Source organism: Homo sapiens, chromosome 14 (assembly GCF_000001405.40).
Source record: "Homo sapiens chromosome 14, GRCh38.p14 Primary Assembly".
NCBI classification, from domain to species: Eukaryota; Metazoa; Chordata; class Mammalia; order Primates; family Hominidae; genus Homo; species Homo sapiens.
The window spans coordinates 69316272-69334065 of record NC_000014.9 but is presented as its reverse complement, the minus strand read 5'-3'; the positions used below and the strand labels follow the sequence as shown (position 1 = coordinate 69334065).

Below are 17794 nucleotides of genomic sequence, written 5' to 3'. Positions count from 1 at the left end.
CTTTAACTTGCCCAGGGCCAAACAGCATGCAGGTGGTAGGGTCAGGGTTTGCACCCAGGCCATCTGACTCCATCACTTAGCATTTCACCACCACCCTCTACCACACACCTCCCAGCCTTGCTGGTAGGGAAGCAGCCACGTGTGTAAGCTGTGGTCTGTGATACAGTTGTGTGTTCTTCCACACACATGTCCAGCCATGTGACCACGGGCTCCCCCTAAATAGAACCTCTTTGTTTACTAGCTGTGTGGCTCTGGACAAATTGCTTAACTTCTCTGTGCCTTGGGTTTTAAAATCAGTAAAATGGAGATCATGGTACTTACCTCAGAGGGTCCTTGAGAGAATTAAATGACCTCATGTGTGTAAAGTCCTTAGAGCAGGTCCTCACGCATAGAAAGTGCTCTGTCAGGGTTAACTGTGGTTATTACTGCTACTGTTATTTTCACTGTCACTATTTCCCAACTCACCAAAATTCTCTCCCCCCCAGATGTCCATCTGGGCATCATACTTTCCCAAGTGGTTAAACCAGGACTTGTCGATCACGAAGATTCCTCCAGCTATGACAGGCGTCCTGGGAGCAAGGAGAGGGAAGACGCAACACGTGAGCTGGAGAAGCAAGGAGGCCCTTTAGATGGCCCCAGGACCCAAGACCGTCTGCCTCTAGATCCCTCCCTGCAGAGTCACTGGGGCAGGATGTCTGGCCAGCTCCCTGGCCCCCCACATCTGTTCCCGTGGCCTCTGTCCTCGCTGTCCCTGCATACAGGGTCCGAAGGCCCAGAACAGAGTCAGCACTTAGTGCGCCTCAGGAGCCCAAGCGACCGATACAGCCTCCCAAGAGCCTCCCAGGCCCCTGACCCAGGGAAGGAAGGGGTCCCCCAGAGCCCACCGCAGCTCTGACCTTATGGGCCTGGTGGGGTCTGTCCGGGTCATCTTCTGCTCAAGAGGGATCTGCTCCCACTTGAAATGCAGGCTCCAGTCGAACCCTAAGGGACACAGCAAGGTGAGGACAGAGCTCAGGGCAGAGCTGCGGGCTGCTGAGACCCTTCACTCCACCACCCCTCGGAGTCTCCCCTGATCAGAGCCCTGGGCTCTTCGTGCAGTCCCTCCTTCATTCGGAATGAGCCAAGCTCCTCCTCTCAGGAAGTGTACCATCTACTGGGTAAGACAGAAGCTACAAAGATAAATAAATCAGTGGAGACTATGTCAGCTGGGGATGAAAGTACTAAAAAAAAAAAAAAAAAGAAGAAAACAAAGAAGGAGTGCCCATACTATTAATATTTTAGTTAGAATAGTCAGGAAAGGCTCTCTGGTGACTTTGGAGTAGAGACCTGAATGAAGGATAGATCCATGAAGATACCTGGAGAAAGGGAATTCAAGGCAGGGGCAGCTGCCAGTGCCAAAGCCCTGAGGTGATTTCCCAAAGGGGAAATGCCTGGCTCCCTTCAGAATCCCACTCAGACTCACAATCTAACTAATGGCTGGGTCCATATACTGGGAGTCCAGATCCCAAACAGGAAATCCACTGTGCCCGCCAGCTCCCAGCAACAGATTCTCTAGAGCAGCACAGTTCCATAGAACTCTCTGCAATGATGAAATGTTCTGTATCTGCATTGTCAAATATGGTAGCCACTAACTTCATGTGGCTACTGAGCCTTGAAATGTGGCTAGTACAGTTAAGGAACTGCCTTTTAAGTTTTATTTAATTTGAATTAATGCAAGTTTAAGTAACCAAAGGTGACTATTATCTACTGTACTGAACAGCCCGTCACAGTCCAAAAGAAATATAATGCAAGGCACAAATGTAAGCCAAATACGTAATTCAAAATGTTCTAGTAATCACATCAGAAAAAGAATATATGAAATTAATTTGGACGAAATATTTTTAATGTAATATATCAAAAATATTGTCATTTCAACATGTAATCAATACAAAAAATTACTAATGAGGTATCTTACATTCTTTCACACTAAGTCTGGGTAACCTGTGGGTCTTCTATGCCTATAGCACTCTTAATTCCAACTAGTCACTTTTCAAGACTAGTCATATTTCAAGAGCTCAATAGCCAAATGTGGCTGATAGTTGCCATACACAACACTGGTCTTGACCATCTCTGGGGCGCATGTGTTAGGAAGTCATGTGAGGCTGAGGGCTCCCTACTCCCCATCCTCAAGACAGCTGTCACATCATGGCCTTCTGCCGGGACTTGTGGCCATGATCCCTAGGCTGGCAGCATTTGGGAAGAAAGTGTCAATATTTGGAGGGAGGGAAAGATGAGAGACTAGTCTGGCTCTGCTACTGATTGTATCAGAAGCCTGCAACTGCCAGCTCTGCTCCTTTGTCCCCAGTCCCAGGGCTGCACCCAATCCCTCTTCATTTTCTCTTTGGAGGTGGTGGAAGGGGTGTTCATGAGGGTCTCTGGCACAGCTGGAAAGAGCAGCAAGCAAGGGTTTTTGCCTGCCTAGCCTCACCTACCTCCTTTCATGTCTACAGCCCCACCCCCGGGAGCAGAACTCACCTCCACGAAGGTCAGCAGATGCTGCAAGGTAGGCAAAATTATCCAGACTGATGACATCAATGATGGGACTCACCACGCGGGTGTGGTCCTAGGAGAGAGATGTGAGATGGTGTGAGGCCTGGGACTTCTCTGCAGAAAAAGGCCTAGCTGCCTGCTCTGGGGAGAAGGCCTCTCTGAGACATGGGGCACTCAGCACTTCCTGCAGGGTATGCCCAGGGCCACCCCTCAACCCTGGCAGGCTCCTGGCAGCTGTCCTGCATCACCACACCCAAGCTCCTGGATGTTCCTATTTGGCTCCCATGTACTCTCCAAGCCTCTTCCTCACACATTATTTTGAGCCCTGCTAGAATCTCACCTACTCCATGAAGCCTTCCTTGACTGCTGCAGGCTGAAGGATTTTTTCCTCTTTTAAGCTACTCTTACAATGACAGCCTAGATGATTCCTGGGACAGTGACTCACTGTGCTGCCTGAAGTGGCTCTTCTATTTCTGGTCTGAACTGTTGCTTTATTAATATCATTTACCTTTGTATTATAGTTGTTTGAGTCTTCCCAATGGGACTACTAGCAGCTGGAGGGCAGGGGCTCCGAGGTCCCCATGTAATCTGGGTGCTATCCCTCTCATACCACATCCACTGTTACAAGGTCAGACTCGCCACTCCCCGCATCACCTCCCAGAACACAAATCCAAATCCAAAACCTTGATGAATAATGTTGATTTTGCTGGCCTCTTTTTTGGGGTGGTAGATTATGTCATATACCACATGTAAAACTTCATCACCCTTCATGAGCCTTCTCATCTTTCGCCCTCCATGGGGGACACGGAACAGAGCCTCTTCTTTCTTCTCCTTCCCCACTCTGCTTTCACCCCCAAAATCCTCTTGTCTGGAACTTGGAATCCAGCTCTGCCCCTCAGTTCCCACCCTAGATCAGGATAACGGAAGCCCGGGATGGGGCTGATCAACAGAGACCTTTGATGGTTTTTCAGTGCTCTGTGGAGGGCCTCACCTCATCCTTTTTATAGACTTTTTTTTGTGCTGAGATATAAAATCACAGGTTTAAAGTACACAATTGATGGTTTTTAGTATATTCACAAGATTGTACAACCATCACCACTATCTTGTTCCAGAACATTTCACCACCCCGACAAGAAACCCAATCTACTTTCTGTTTCTATAGATTTGCTTATTCTGGACATTTCCTATGAAAGGAATCATATAATGTATGGCTTTTCGTGACTGGCTTTCACTTCACGTAGGTTTTCAAAGTTCATCCATGTTGTAGCATGTATCAGTTCTTCATTTTTTTAATGTCTGGATAATTCTGTTGTATGGATACACCACATTTTATTTACCCATTCGTCAGTTGATAGGCATTTGGATTTTTTCTACCTTTTGGTTATTCTGAATAGTGCTGCTCTGAAGTTATTGTGTGAACATATGTTTTCATTTCTCTCGGGTCTACACCTAGCAGCTCCACTGCTGGGTCATATGCTAACTAACTTATGTTCAAACTTTCGCAGAACTGCCAGACTGCCTTCCAAAGTGGCTGCCCTACTTTACATTCCTGCCAGCAATATATGAAGGCTCCTGATATGGTTTGGGTATTTATCCCCCCAAATCTCATGTTGAAATGTAATCCCCAAGGTTGGAGATGGGGCCTAGTTAGGGGTGTTTGGGTCATGGGGGTGGATCGTTCATGGCTTGGTGTTGTCTTCCTGACAGTAAGTGACTTCTCGTGAGATCTGGTTAGTTTAGAAGCATGTAGTACCTCCACCCAACTCTCTCTTGCCCCCACTCTCGCCATGTGAGGTACCTACTCCCCCTTCACTTTCTGCCATGAATAAAGCTCCCTGAGGCCTCCTCAGAAGCCAAGCAGATGCCAGTGCCATGCTTGTACAACGTGAGCCGATTAAACCTTTTATTTGTAAGTTATCCAGTCTCAGGTATTTCCTTATAGCAATGCAAGAATGGCCTGATACAGCTCCTATTTCTCCATGTCCTTGCCAGCACTTGTTATTGTCCATCTTTTGGATTCTAGCCATCCTGGTAGGTGTGAAGTGGCATCTCATTATGGTTTTGAGTTGCACTTCCCTAATGACTAATGATGCTGAGCATCTTTTCCTAGGCTTATTGGCCATTTCTATATCTTCCTTGAAAAAATGTCTACTCAAATCCTTTGCCAATTTTTTTTTCTTGAGATGGAGTCTCGCTCAGTTGCCCAGGCTGCAGTGCAGTGGTGTGATCTTGGCTCACTGCAACCTCTGCCTCCCGGGACCAGGTGATTCTCCCGCCTCTGCCTCCCAAGTAGCTGGGAGCACAGGCACCCGCCGTCATGCCCAGCTACTTTTTGTACTTTTGTAGAGATGGGGTTTCACCATGTTGGCCAGGCTGGTCTTGAACTCCCGATCTCAGGTGATCTGCCCTCCCCGGCCTCCCAAAGTGCTGGGATTACAGGGGTGAGCCACCGCTCCAGGCCCCTTTGCCAATTTTTAAATTGGGTTATTTGTCTTTTTATGGTCGGGTTGTTATCACCTCATCCTTTTCTGCCATCTGTCCAAATCCTCCCTGTTCTGGAGAACAGTAGGCACGTGGCAGGGGCCCTCCTACCCTCTCCTCTCTTTGAGAACAACATCCTCTGCTCCCTCTTGCAAGGGCTTCCCAGCCCGAACAAAAGCTCTCCCAGCACAGGATCCTAACTCTCCAAGGAGAAAAACAACACCCATTTGTAGCAGGAGCTTTGTAGCTCACCCAGGCTTTCATCCAATTTCATTCTCACAATAACCCAGTGGGATAATTATGACAATTATCCCCATTTTCAGATGAGAAAACTCAATAAGGTGAAGTCACTCAGGGGGAAGTAGACTATTTGGGCTTCCTACGATGCCTGCCCAGCTTCAAATACTGTCCCATAGGCCTCGGTGCCAGGAACGTAGTGGCTGAGTCCCCAAGGACGCCCAGCTCCCCAGAGACAGTGGCTCACCTCCTTCACCCGCTGCAGCATGGGCGGCAGCCACTCGGTGTTCACTTCGCAGTGGCTATCCAGAAAGGTGAGAACGGTAGCTGCAGCCACGTCCGCCCCACGCACTCGGGACCGGATCAGCCCTACAAGAGGAGTAGATAGGGCTTGGCGCTGGGACTGGGCCAACTGGCTTCCCACCTGTCCCCCAAAGTCCCAAGGCTCTCCTCTCCTTCAGGGGCTGAGGCTTCCTGAGTTATTGTGATTAGATTTGACTTTATACTTCTGCTTGTTTCCTGCCTCCCTCCCTTGCTTCTTCTTATCCACCCATCAACCACCATCACTCCAGGGTCACACCCCGAGTGCCCTCTATGTGCCAGTCACTGTCTGGGCTCTAGGGACACACTGATGAACAGTCACAGTTTAGAGCGTGGAAAGTGCAATAAAGTAGTTTGATCCCAAAGGAGAACCAGAAAACAAAACTTTTTCCCATGGGAACCTCTGGGTCGTCCCCTCCATCCATACCCCTATGTGTAGCATGGAGATAATCTTCGAGACTAAGATAGGCTTAAGTTTGTATGGCAGCCCCTTTCCTTACCTTCAGCATGTTATTTAACCGCTCTGAGCCTCAGTTTTCTTATCTATAAGATTCAGAGAGATAATAATCCCTGACTGTCAGGATCAAACAAGACGACAGGGACAGAGCTTGGTGCCTGGGAGACCCACACATGTCAGGTTCTGTTCTTCTGTGCCTGTCCCCCGATAGCCTCACCAGCCTCATTTTGGGCAGCACTCTGCTCTGGGCGGAGACCTGCCTGGTCAGGAGGGAGGAGGCCCAGCTTCTCCTGCCCCTGCCAGAGTGGCCATGTGTGCCCTGTGAGCTGTGGGAGGGAAGGGCCTCACTCTTAGAGCTCTGAGTATAAGCAGCTCCTTGGAGACATTTCCCTAGCCATGCCTCTGCCCCAGACTCTGCCTCTAGCTGCCTACCAGCCCGCCAGCCAGCCAAAAGCCCATCAATCTCCACTCCAAAAGTGTCTACAAAGCATCGAGTCATAAATTTACATTTACTGTTGTCAAATCCAGGGACAGCATATTCCCAGACCTGACGGTACCTACAGCCCAGTGGCTTGGGAAGGATTTAACTTCGGCCACTTCCATTCTGGTTTGAAGGTCTCCCTCACTGGTATTCTTGTGGCCCCTTGGCCTGACTGGTCTTTCTTTCTTTCTTTCTTTTTTTCGAAACTGAGTGTCGCTCTGTCACCCAGGCTGGAGTGCAGTGGCGCAATCTTGGCTCACTGCAACCTCTGCCTCCTGGGTTCAAGCGTTCAAGTGATTCTCCTGCCTCAGCCTCCTGAGTAGTTGGGGCTACAGGCATGTGCCACCACACCCAGATATTTTCGTATTTTTAGTAGAGACGGGGTTTTAGCACATTGGCCAGGCTAGTCTTGAACTCCTGACCTCAAGTGGTCTGCCCGCCTCAGCCTCCCAAAGTGCTGGGATTATTTTAAACATATCAATCACATCCCTCTCTTACTCTAAAACCTCAGTGGCTCCCTGCTACCTCTGCCTTATGAAGTCAATGCTTTCTTCTGGCTTCCAAGGTCTTCTATCATCTCAATTCACTCCATCTATTCCCCATGCTGACCAGGCCTGGGGTCTCGCAGGAAGGGAGTATGAGTATGAGTAGGCGGCTGGCCTTTGGGTTGGGCCCCACAGGTTGGAGCCATGGCTGCTCTATTCATCACCCTGGGCAAATCGCTGAAGCTCCTTAAACCCCAGTTCCCTTGTCTGTACAACAGGCACAGTGGGCTGAGTACAAGGACTGAAAGTAGCAAACCGGATGCCCGCAGGGGAGGAGACCTCAGGAAAGGGGCTGTTAGTATTGCGCATGCCCATACCCCTGACTGATGCCTTTGCTTGCAGAGTGCACAAGCTGGCATGCCCTCCCTTGCTCCCCTTTACCTGTCTCATGATGCCCCCACACCCCATTGAGGCCCATTCCTCCATGGAAGCCTTCCCTGCTCACTCCAGCTCTCCTCTGATATCCATGCTATTCATACACAACCACAGCCAGCCTGTGGCTGCAGTGGATTCTGACCCCTTGGCTATGTAGTAGCTCTCCGAGGGCAGGGACTATGCTTTGTACTTCCTTCGTGTCCCCTAGAGTGCCATGCACAATGCCACGCTGTAGTAGCTACTCCAAAACACATCTGGATTGGAAGTGAGATCACATCTGCTTTATGCTTCTGGATTTTTCTCAAAGCCTTTCCACACAGCCTGTCTCATGCAATCCTTACAATCACCTTGCAAGGCAGAAAGGGACTGTCTTATCCCATTTCTCAGGAGAGACAGCTAAGGCAGTCAGAGATGGAGCAACTTGCCTACAGTTGTGCCTTGATGGGGCTGATCTGGGAAGGAGGAGAGTCTTCTGCAGAACCTGGTCTCAGCCATCAGGAATGCAGCAGGACCATGTTGGCTTGGTGTGCCACGGCACCAAGAGAGAGTGGGGAAGTGCACAGGATGACACCAAGATGGGCCCTTGGTGGGACCCAGGGTGCAAGGACTCACCTTCCCGCCGATCATTGCGCAGGCACTTGACCTTGGGGATCCTGGTCAGGAGTAGACAGTCTTCCGCTGAGGATGCAAAGAGGAAGGCAAGCTCATTTAGACATGGGCATCAGGCCACTAGTGGTTTGGCTGCCATGAAAATTGCCCCATACTAAGCCCAGGAAAGGGTTGGGGATGGGGATTGGGAAGAGGTATGGTCATCACTACTGGCCGAAGGGTTGCCCTGCCCCACTCTCAGGCCAGACTGAGGAGTGCCTGTACCTATGGCAGTACTCCACTCCACCTCAGGGAGCACTAGAAAGCACGCTTGGGGGTGGCTACCAGCCCAGCTATCATCTGCATTTGGCAGTTGTAATAATGAAGGATGCTGTTGATTTTCTTTACTTTTTAAAAACAATATCATCTCACTAGAGTCCCATCCAAAGCAACACCCACCCTTCTTTCCCCTCCTTTGACACCAGGGAACAGGACCAGGGAGGGGTCCTAGAAAAGACAGGATCCCTGCTGGGGGCAGAAAGGTGTCTGCGATGGTCAGGACAACCTCAGGGTGCTTGCCTTGGTGTTCTGGGGAAACAGGGACGAGGGCGGAATGGAGGGCTGCAAAAAGGAAGGTGACTACTCACGATCTGAGCTGAAGTCATCCACTAAAATGATCTCCTGGATCAAGTTGGCAGGAGTTCGGTTCAGGACACTACAGTAGCAGTGGAAACAGAGAAAGAGCCTGGATTTAGGAACCACCTCCCATTTTTACCACTCCCGGGGCCGTGGGACTCCCCAGCCGCCCAGCTCCAGGGCCAGCATGCTGGGCGCTCCTACCTGAATCCTATTCTTGTCTAAGTTCATTGAGGAAATGGGGAGATGGGAGTTCAACTTGACCACAAGCCCAGGCTTAGCAGGAAGAATCCACCTCCAATCCACCTCTCTCTGACACTGACAGACACTGCTGGGCTTCCATCACCCTCCTGAGGCCTCCTGTCTAGCCCGGCCTCCCTCAGCTCCTGACACCTGCATTTCTGCCCTTGTCCTGGACATCTGACCTGGTGTTTGACTGTCGCATTCCTCTAACAGTTTGACTTCTGGGGTCTTCCTGGCCCTGATTCACCAGTCTCAGCCTCTCAGAAGTACAGGACTCAGCCTCCAGCACCTGCTGGGCTTCAAGCTGTCTGGCCACAGCGCCCAATCCCAATGTCCTCCCCTGCCAGCACCACTGAGATGAGAGTCCCATGGCTGGACTTACCTCTTCACTGTGCGCAGCAGGGTGGAACGGGCCTCATTGTGGAAGGTGATGATGACGCTGGTGGCTGGCAGGTCCGAGGAGTAGGACACAGATGGGCAGCTGAGAAGGGAGCACAGAGGTCAGAGCCAGCCATGAGGGCATCCTCAGGGCAGGTCAATGTTTTTCTTTGTCCAGTCTTGTGCCTGAGAATACTTCTGCCAGGCAGAGAAGGCACACCAACAGCCAGGCCAGAGGCCCCGCGCCTCCACCCCCATGCTGCATCCCACACTGGCCCAGAACCCCGATGCCACCCATCCTGGGGTCCTGGGAGGGAAGCAGCAGGTTGGGAGACCTTCCAAGGCCTGGGGGCTCTTTACCAGAGATCTCAGAGCCCCCAGAGGGGGCTCCCTAGTATATACAGATACTGCACCAGGCCCCAGGATACAGCCCTGACCACACTCTGTCGTATGGTGGGGGGTATGTGCGAGAGGGAAAACTACCTCTGTTTGTCCTGATACCCTAGAGTTTCTTCCTTCTCTCTTCCCAGCTCAGGACATTTGGTAGAATCTGCAGAGGAATCACCCCTACCCTGGCTGCCAGGGAATTCCTCCCTGTCACTGCCCAACACTGACAGCCCTGCTGCAGACAACAAGCTGGGGAGCAGTCTCACTCCTCCCAGGGTACTGGGTCCCCTGGAGGAAACAAGCCTCTGTTAAGACACCAAAGGCCTATCCCGTCACTTCCTCCCTCCCCAGCCATCCATAGACACCACATTTTCTGGCCTACTGGCTCCCTCTCCTCTAGAAAGGGAGTGAAAACAATTCATTCCTGCCAGACTTCATCCCTGTTGTTTCTGCGTATGCATTTATTTGAGCTCCTGGGGTGCTGGAAGGTGGCCTCCGTTGCTGGTTTTCATAGCAATCTTCTTTATTACAATTGCTCTCTGACTATTCCACCAGTGCCCGTTTTTTCATTGTGGCATTCATTCTACTGACAGCAGCTTACAGCCCGAATTCCCAGGCCTGTTTCCTGCCCTGCAGAGCAGACCAGGTCAGACAGGCAGGAGTCCCACTAGCCTGGGACCCCCCTGGGGGAAATCTTGAGAGGCTGTGCAATAATTCTCCTTGAGAGGGGGTGTAGGGTAGTGGTGGCGGAGGGAAATTTGCCTTCTACCCCTTGAGAAACCATGCTGTTCAAGGGCCTATGAATTGTGGGGGAGGGAGTGAGCTTGGCCGGCTGAGCTGGGGTGTGCTGGGAGCAGCAAATACCTCCTAAGTGTGCACCCTCCCAGTGCTGACCTCCAGGGCCCCAGTCCTCTGTCCTGATCCCCCAACCATCCGGTGCCCAGAAAGGAGGGAATCGGGACAGTGACGTCTCCCTGAAGGGGGCAAACCCACCCACACCCCATCTGAAGGGTGAACTTGACCTCCCCACCGGCTCCCTCCAGCCCTTTCGGCATGCATGCCTCTGGGATTGATGTTACTTAGCATGGGGGTTTATCTGGCTCCCAGGAGCCAGGAGCCTCTAAAGGGGTTTGTCCCAGCCCTGAGTTTTGAGTTTGGAGCTGATGGGGTTTTCTCTGTGATCCTCCTCGGCCTGTCTTATGTGGTTTATGTCCCTTTGCTCCCCTGGAGCGGGCTCCCTAGATTGAGGCTGGACCAGAAATGAACCTGACAATTTGGAGTCCAGCGGACACTACAGCCTGCAGGGCTGCAAGGAAGAGCAGCTTCTACCAGCAAACTGGCCCCACCATGGCAGGAGGCCTGCCCACTAAAGCCAGCACGTCCTTTGCTTCCCTACACGTGTGCATGCGTGCGCGCGTGCGCGCGCACACACACACACACACACACACACACACACACACACACACACACACACACACACACCCCGTGAGCCACCTCAGCTTTCTTTTTTCTTTTTTGAGACGGAGCCTTACTCTGGCACCCAGGCTGGAGTACGGTACTGCGATCTTGGCTCACTGCAACCTCTGCCTCCCAGGTTCAAGAGATTCTCCTGCCTTAGCCTCCCGAGTAGCTGAGATTACAGGTGCCCACCACCACACCCAGCTAATTTTTGTATTTTAGTAGAGACAGGGTTTCACCATGATAGGCAGGCTGGTCTTGAACTCCTGACCTCAAATGATCCACCCACCTCAGCCTCCCAAAGTGCTGGGATTACAGGTGTGAGCCACCGTGCCTGGCCCACCTCAGCTTTCTGACAGGGCCCAGCAGCAGCATGTGGCACCTCATCAACCCACCACTACCCTGGATTTAAAGCGTCTCATTTAAAAATGTACATAGCCCCCAGGGCAATTCCCCCTTTAAGTTTCTCAGTGAGCACCTGAGGCGGTTCAGAGTCAGGTAAGCTGGGGGGTGAACAGAGATTATCCAGGGCAAGCCCTCAATTCACAGATTGGGGCCAACAGATCCTCTAGACCCTGGGACTAGGTCAGCCATGGCTAGGGCTGCCCATGAAAGGTCTCTAAGTGGAGCTATGTGGATGTAACCTCTTCTGCAGCACAGGCAGACAGGAGGGGATGCTGCCCAGGACTGGGTGAGAAAGAACTTCTGAGGCCCAGAAACAGCCAGCAGGCCTGGTGGTGTCCTTGCCGCGAAGCAGGAGTACTGCCTTACTTGGCTGCATGAGTGGTTTCTGGAGGCTGACAGTGCTGGCGTTACAGGACAGCAAGGCCAAGGTCTGGGGCTCCCCCAGCCCTGTGTTCATCTCACCTTGCACAGGCCACCAAGCACCCTGGACTTCAGGCATGCATCTGTGAGTGACAAGGAAGGTGCTAGAACCAGGCCCTCTCGCACCCTCACCTCACCTATACCCTTTGTGCTGTGGAGTAGCTGCTTCAGAAGTAAAAGCAACCTTGATCCAAGTCATTGTTGCTACCCTCAAGCCAGGACCAGACGGAGGCCCAGCCTAGCTTTGAGCACACAGCTGCAGGCACAGCCGTGAGTCAGCTCCAACAGCGCCCTGGCCATTCTGTGAGATGTCTGCACAGAGCACAGAAGAGGGGCCCAACCTAGCCCGGGTTGGGAAGGAGCCTTCCATGGAGGAGAGGACAGTGAGCCAAGTGTCCTCGAAGTGAGCCAAGTAGCTCAAAGGGTAGGTGGGGCGGAGGAGGTGCGTTTAGGCAGAGGAAACAGCATGTGTGAAAGCAAGGAAGGAAGGAGGGAGGAATCTGGGACTGCAGGACCATCAAGTGCTGGGGGAAAGGTGGGTAAGGCCAGGTCATGGGGAGCGGGGGGTGGTGCTTCAGCATCAGGAACTCAGACTGTTCGTGCAGGTGACGGCAGGAAGAGGAAAGACTGGAGATGGTGACTTTCACCCTCTAGACAGAACACACAAGGGCATAGACCCAGAGAGGGGCTAATGCCTTGCTTAAGGCCGGTCACGCACACTGAGCTGGGATGAGAGTGGAGGCTTCCTTGGTCCTGGTCTAAGGCCTCTCCCACCTCACCATACTGAGAGAACTAAGAACAAGACTAGGAAGCATTTCTGGGAGTTGCTGAGGAGGTGGAGCTGTGGTGCAGGAAAGGGAGGTCAATGGGGTGGGCCACAGCACCCCACTGTTTGCAATGTGCAGGGCTGTGACTCTCTCCACTTTAGGCACCACCAGTAAGGCCCCAAGAGCGCCTGGCTCACCCACTGCCACGGACCTCCTTTGGTCCCCTCCCAGGTCACTTTTGCTGGGGCGCCAGACTGAAGTGCCTTGGGGCCTCCTTGGCCCCAGCGGAGCGGTTTCCTTGGTCTTGGCAGGGCCTCAGTAGGCCAGGTAAACCAGCAACAGAGGGTGAGGGTTTTTGAATGTCTAAATCACTGGACACAGTCTGAGGAAATCATCCTCATTTCTTAGATACACGTAAAAGAAGACAAACTAAACAATGTTGGCTTTCTCTCAGTCTTTCTTCCTCCACTGACACGATGGAGGCCGTACCTGTAATGGCGGGTGTCCCGGATGGGCCGGTCTGGGCTCAGCTTGTCACTCTCCAGCTGGTTGAAGGCGTGCTGTCTGTAGGGGTCCTCTCCAGCCTTCAGCTGCTTGGCCGACAGGTAGGCCTTCTCATCAAAGCCTTTCGAGGGAGTTCCTGTCACCTGAGATGAAGGTCAGCATCAGAGAGGACCACAGGCAGGAGGACCCCACTGCTTGGCGAGTGCTCAGCACACACCAGGCGGGAGCCAGCCACGTGGCCTCATTTGTGCCTTACGCCAACTCTATGAGGAGGAGACCATTATCTCCCCCACTGTACAGAAGAGAAAACTGAGGCTCAAGAGGGTTTCTTTTTTTTTCTTTTTTTCTTTTTTTTTTCTTTTTTTTGACACAGGGTCTTATTCTGTCACCCAGGCTGGAGTGCAGATCTTGGCTCACTGCAACCTCTGCCTCCCAGGTTGAAGCGATTCTCCTGTCTCAGCCTCCCAAGTAGCTGAGATTACAGGTGCGCACCACCACGCCTAGCTAATTTTCATAGTTTTGGTAGAGGTGGAGTTTCGTGGTGTTGGCTAGGCTGGCCTTGAACTCCTGACCTCAAGTGATCCACCCACCTCAGCCTCCCAAAGTGCTGGGATTACAGGCATGCGCCACCGCGCCCGGCCATCAAGAGGCTTTTTAAAAAGCATCCAGGGTCAGAGCTATTAAGTCACAAGGTCTGGATTTAAACTGGTCATTCCGACTCCAAAGCCCATGCTCTTAACCAATGTTCTTTGCGGGATATTGGGGGGGTGAGTCCTGGAGTGCACCAGACCTCTAAGGCAAGGTGTCCTGAGGGGACTACAAACCAGAATGGATGCTGCCAAGCGCCTGCAGATTGACAGTCTCCTAGGCAGAAACTTGGGCCTAGCCCTGGCCTAGGCATTATATGAGGCACCCGATCAGTAAAACACCAGGGCTTGGACAATCTGCTGCATAAAGAACTACCTGTAAGGACAGCAAACCCCTGCAGGCTGATGCCAGAGCTACCAGAACTCAAGTGCTCAGACAGTGATGCATCTTCTCTGGGACTTTTGCTTGCTCCTGAAATGGCCCCTGTAAGATCCACTGGTCCCCAGGCACTAAGTGCTGGGCAGTGATGGATGGCAGATGCCATTGCCCATCCCGTTCCTTCATGGCCACACCCTACCCTGTGCTCCCAGAGTCTCCAGCAACAGACACTGGGGAAGGACACATCTGAAATTAACAGATGGATGCAAGCACCCTGACATCTCATTACTTGAACCAAACTGCTGGCTGGATGTTCTCCAGAGTGCCATGAAATATCATCAACTGTGGGTACATCCCAACTCCAACTTTCCGCCCAACCATCAGCCCTGGGCTGAAGCTGGGGCCCCAGAGGAAGCAGAAAGGAGGGTGAGAATTGCCCACTCACAAAACTCTTGCATGAGGATGCTATCACAGGCCTAGTCCTAGAGGGATGGTCCCAGCAAGGCAGCTAGACCTGTGGGGAGTGGATCGCTGTGTGGAATGACACTGGGACTGTCACCAGCAGCTCAGGGCCTCTATGTTCCCCTGAGAGCCTAGCCCCCGACCTCACTGGACAGGCATGCCCAGGGTCCGGGGAGCTCTGATCTCCTGAACTGCTGCCACTCTGTAGCGATACTACCTTCTAGGGTTGCCTCCTGTCCTAGGAGCCAGTTGGAGGTTCCCTGAGGGCAGAACAGTGAGGGAGATGTCCTCGTGTCCACTGGGCCCACCCCATGCTAGACACAGATGCTCATGATGGTAACACTGCTGTGGCTGCTGTGTGGAACACTGAGGTGGTGCCATGCCAGAGACTGAACAGATGTGGCGGAGCCCCCAGTGAACTCAAAATCCATTTCAGGAAAGACGGAAGATGGAAGGAAGGAAGGAGGGAGAGAGGGACAAAAGGAATGTTCTGGCTTGGGCCCTGGATCGCCAGAAGGATCCAAGCCATCCAACTCTGAAAGGGAGAGTGATTCTTTTTGTCCTTCCCACCTGGGAGAGCGATGGATGCCCTCTTAGCTCTAGGTCAGGGAAATGGAACGGAGCCTCCAGTTGATGGCAAAGGAGCTAAAATTAAAGAAAAACTGCAGAGGGATGATTTGCTGAAGCTCCCAAAGGGAGAGTATGCACTTCGTTATCCTCCAGGTCAGCTGTGGGAAATAGCCATGTTTGTTTATTTAGGACTTACGGCCACTCTGTGGGCTCAGGAAACCTCTGAGTCCTCATCCCACACTCATTCATTGCCCAGTGAACATTGACTGACAGTCACCCATCTACCAGGCACTGGGGCACCCTTCTGAATCACCTAAACATGCATTCATTTGTTTATGAATGCTTGCATTCACTCATCCATTCATGCATGCATTCATTCAACAAAGCTCCACCAAGCGCCTCCTATGTGCCAGGAAGCAGAAGTAAGGTTTCTGAGATAGTTCCCCCTGCCCCAGCCTGCTGCCTTCCCCACTTCATTCAAGGCTTCCTCAGGGCCATGGAGACTGTTGGGGAAGAATGTCTGCTCAGGCCCAGGCTCTCTAGAGAGGTTCCTCCCAAGGCCTCGAAATTGAGTTACACATCCTCAAAGATGCTATTGGGAAAAGTAAAGTCTGCTGTTCCCTTCCACAAGCCATACTCTCTGGGTGGTCCAACCCCGCTCCAGGTGGTATCAGGGTTTGGGGTTTGACTCTTCACCTGTGAGACAGGTGTCATGGAAACAACAGGCCCAGAGGCCTTAGCTCTCCTTTCAGGATGACCCTGCTGTTCCTTGGGGTTGGAGCTGAAATGTCAGTTGGCCCTGAGCCAGTGAAGTGAAGGGGATCCTGAGGAAGGGTAGGTTGTGGCTCCTGGCCACAATTCCATGACCTCTGAAGGGCTTTCACTTCCTCTCTCCTCAGCTCTCTCTGGCCTCGCCCCGGTCACCACCCAGAGCCGTTCTACTTCCGATATGTAACCCCAGTTCCCATGCCCAGATCATAATCATTTCCTTCCAGCTCTTGAACTCCTCCTTTTGCCTTTAGCCCCATTCTTTGATCTTGAGACTTCAGGTCTTTGAATGTCCCACGGGTGCCCCTAACTTGGCATCTCAAAACAAATTCCCCACTTATCCCAAAGCTGCTGCTTCTCCTGCATTCCCTGTTGCCGAGATGAGCAGTTCCACCCAAGTCATGAATTCACAAAATCGTCTTTGATGCCCTCCCATGCTCCATAGCCTGATTCAATGTCTGCCCTGTGTATTCATAGGCAGTGTACTTAACAACACTGGTATTAACTCAGCAAATACTGAGTGAAAACCTACTATGTACATACACTGGGTAAGAGGCTGGGAATGTGGAAATAAACAAAAGGCAACATAACCCCTAGAACAGGAATCCAAGCATCTGGTCCCTTTCATGCCCCATCCCATGCCAGGCTTGGCCATGGAGGATCAGAAAGAAGAAACCGCCAACCCCAAGCTCAGAGCGGAGCTGGAGAACTGACCACAGAACCTCACCCCACCCTGACTCCCACTGGAGCAGGAGTCTGCAGATGTCGTGTGACCAGTGGATGCTGTTTCCCTCCTCCCCTCTTCTAAAGGGGAACTGTGCTGCTGCTAGCCTGCATTCCATCCATGTTGCTCACTAAGTGTATTGGCGAGGGAGTAAATGCATCATTTGGCACTTGGCTGCAGGACCATGAGGAGCTATATCTGGACCAGCTCAAGAGACTGGAGATCCTGGGCTTGGAGCCACTAGATGGGACTAGCTTGGCTGCCCTCTCTGGAGGGGGTAGTGAAAGTATTTTGGGTTGTTGGTGGAATTCTTATGTCAAGCAGGGGCACATGTCACATGACACTGACATTTGTGCTTTACTTCTCTTTCTTTTCCACTAGATGGTGAGCTCTTCCTCATGGGGCTCCCTGCACCTGGCACACAGTAGGTACTCAACAGGTGGTTGCTGAATCAAGGAATAGATAAGTAAATGAATGAATACCTAAATATTGTCCCTGCTCTCAAAGGACCTATAATCAAATGGAGAGAAAACAGCAAACAAATGGGACCCTGTGATACATCACGTGACCTTCAGTGCCCCCCCCCCTCACAGACTACAAGCCCCCAAGCTCACAATGGCCTGAGGCGCTCTCTGGGCAGGTGTCACCTTGCTGAACTTGCTTCCACTGCTGCCCCTTACTTGCTCTGCTCCAGCCACACTCTCTTTCTGTGGAAGGCTCCTCTGTGTAGGGCCTGCAGGGCCCTGCTCAAACCTCCTGCAGGACGCTGCTCAAACCTCACCTCCTCTGTGAGCCTTCCCCAACCACCACATGTAACTCTGTGACCCCAACCCGACCCTCTCATTCCCTGCCCTCCTGCAGTGTTTTGCTTCTCCTAAGGCACTCATTGCAATCTCACAGTCTATATGTGCTTTACTTATTTATTTTAGGGTTTTGGCTACCTCTCCCCACAAGATTATAAGCTTCACTAGGGCAGGGGTTTTCTGTTTTGTCTCATGCTGAATCCCAAAGCCCAGAGAAAAACCTTGGTGATTGTAGGCACTCAAAAACAATAGCTACTGAATACATGTGTAATCTCAAGCCTCTCCTTCC

At 51.9% G+C, this 17794-nt stretch overlaps 1 protein-coding gene across 7 annotated transcripts in view; it reads right to left on the bottom strand.

Moving 5' to 3' along the window:
* The window catches only part of GALNT16 (polypeptide N-acetylgalactosaminyltransferase 16), a 126707-nt gene that overhangs the window by 52272 nt on the left and 56641 nt on the right, over positions 1–17794 (bottom strand). For all 7 annotated transcript variants that reach the window (XR_007064036.1, XM_017021498.2, XM_047431618.1 and 4 more), the window contains 8 exons: positions 13198–13355; positions 9276–9374; positions 8662–8729; positions 8039–8104; positions 5495–5616; positions 2515–2602; positions 897–981; positions 466–569 (listed from right to left, as the gene is read on the bottom strand). Coding sequence is in view for 6 of the 7 variants with exons in the window: in XM_017021498.2 (XP_016876987.1) it covers positions 466–569; positions 897–981; positions 2515–2602; positions 5495–5616; positions 8039–8104; positions 8662–8729; positions 9276–9374; positions 13198–13355 (790 nt within the window). In the remaining variant the exon portion in view is untranslated. The remainder of the gene's footprint in view (positions 1–465; positions 570–896; positions 982–2514; positions 2603–5494; positions 5617–8038; positions 8105–8661; positions 8730–9275; positions 9375–13197; positions 13356–17794) is intronic.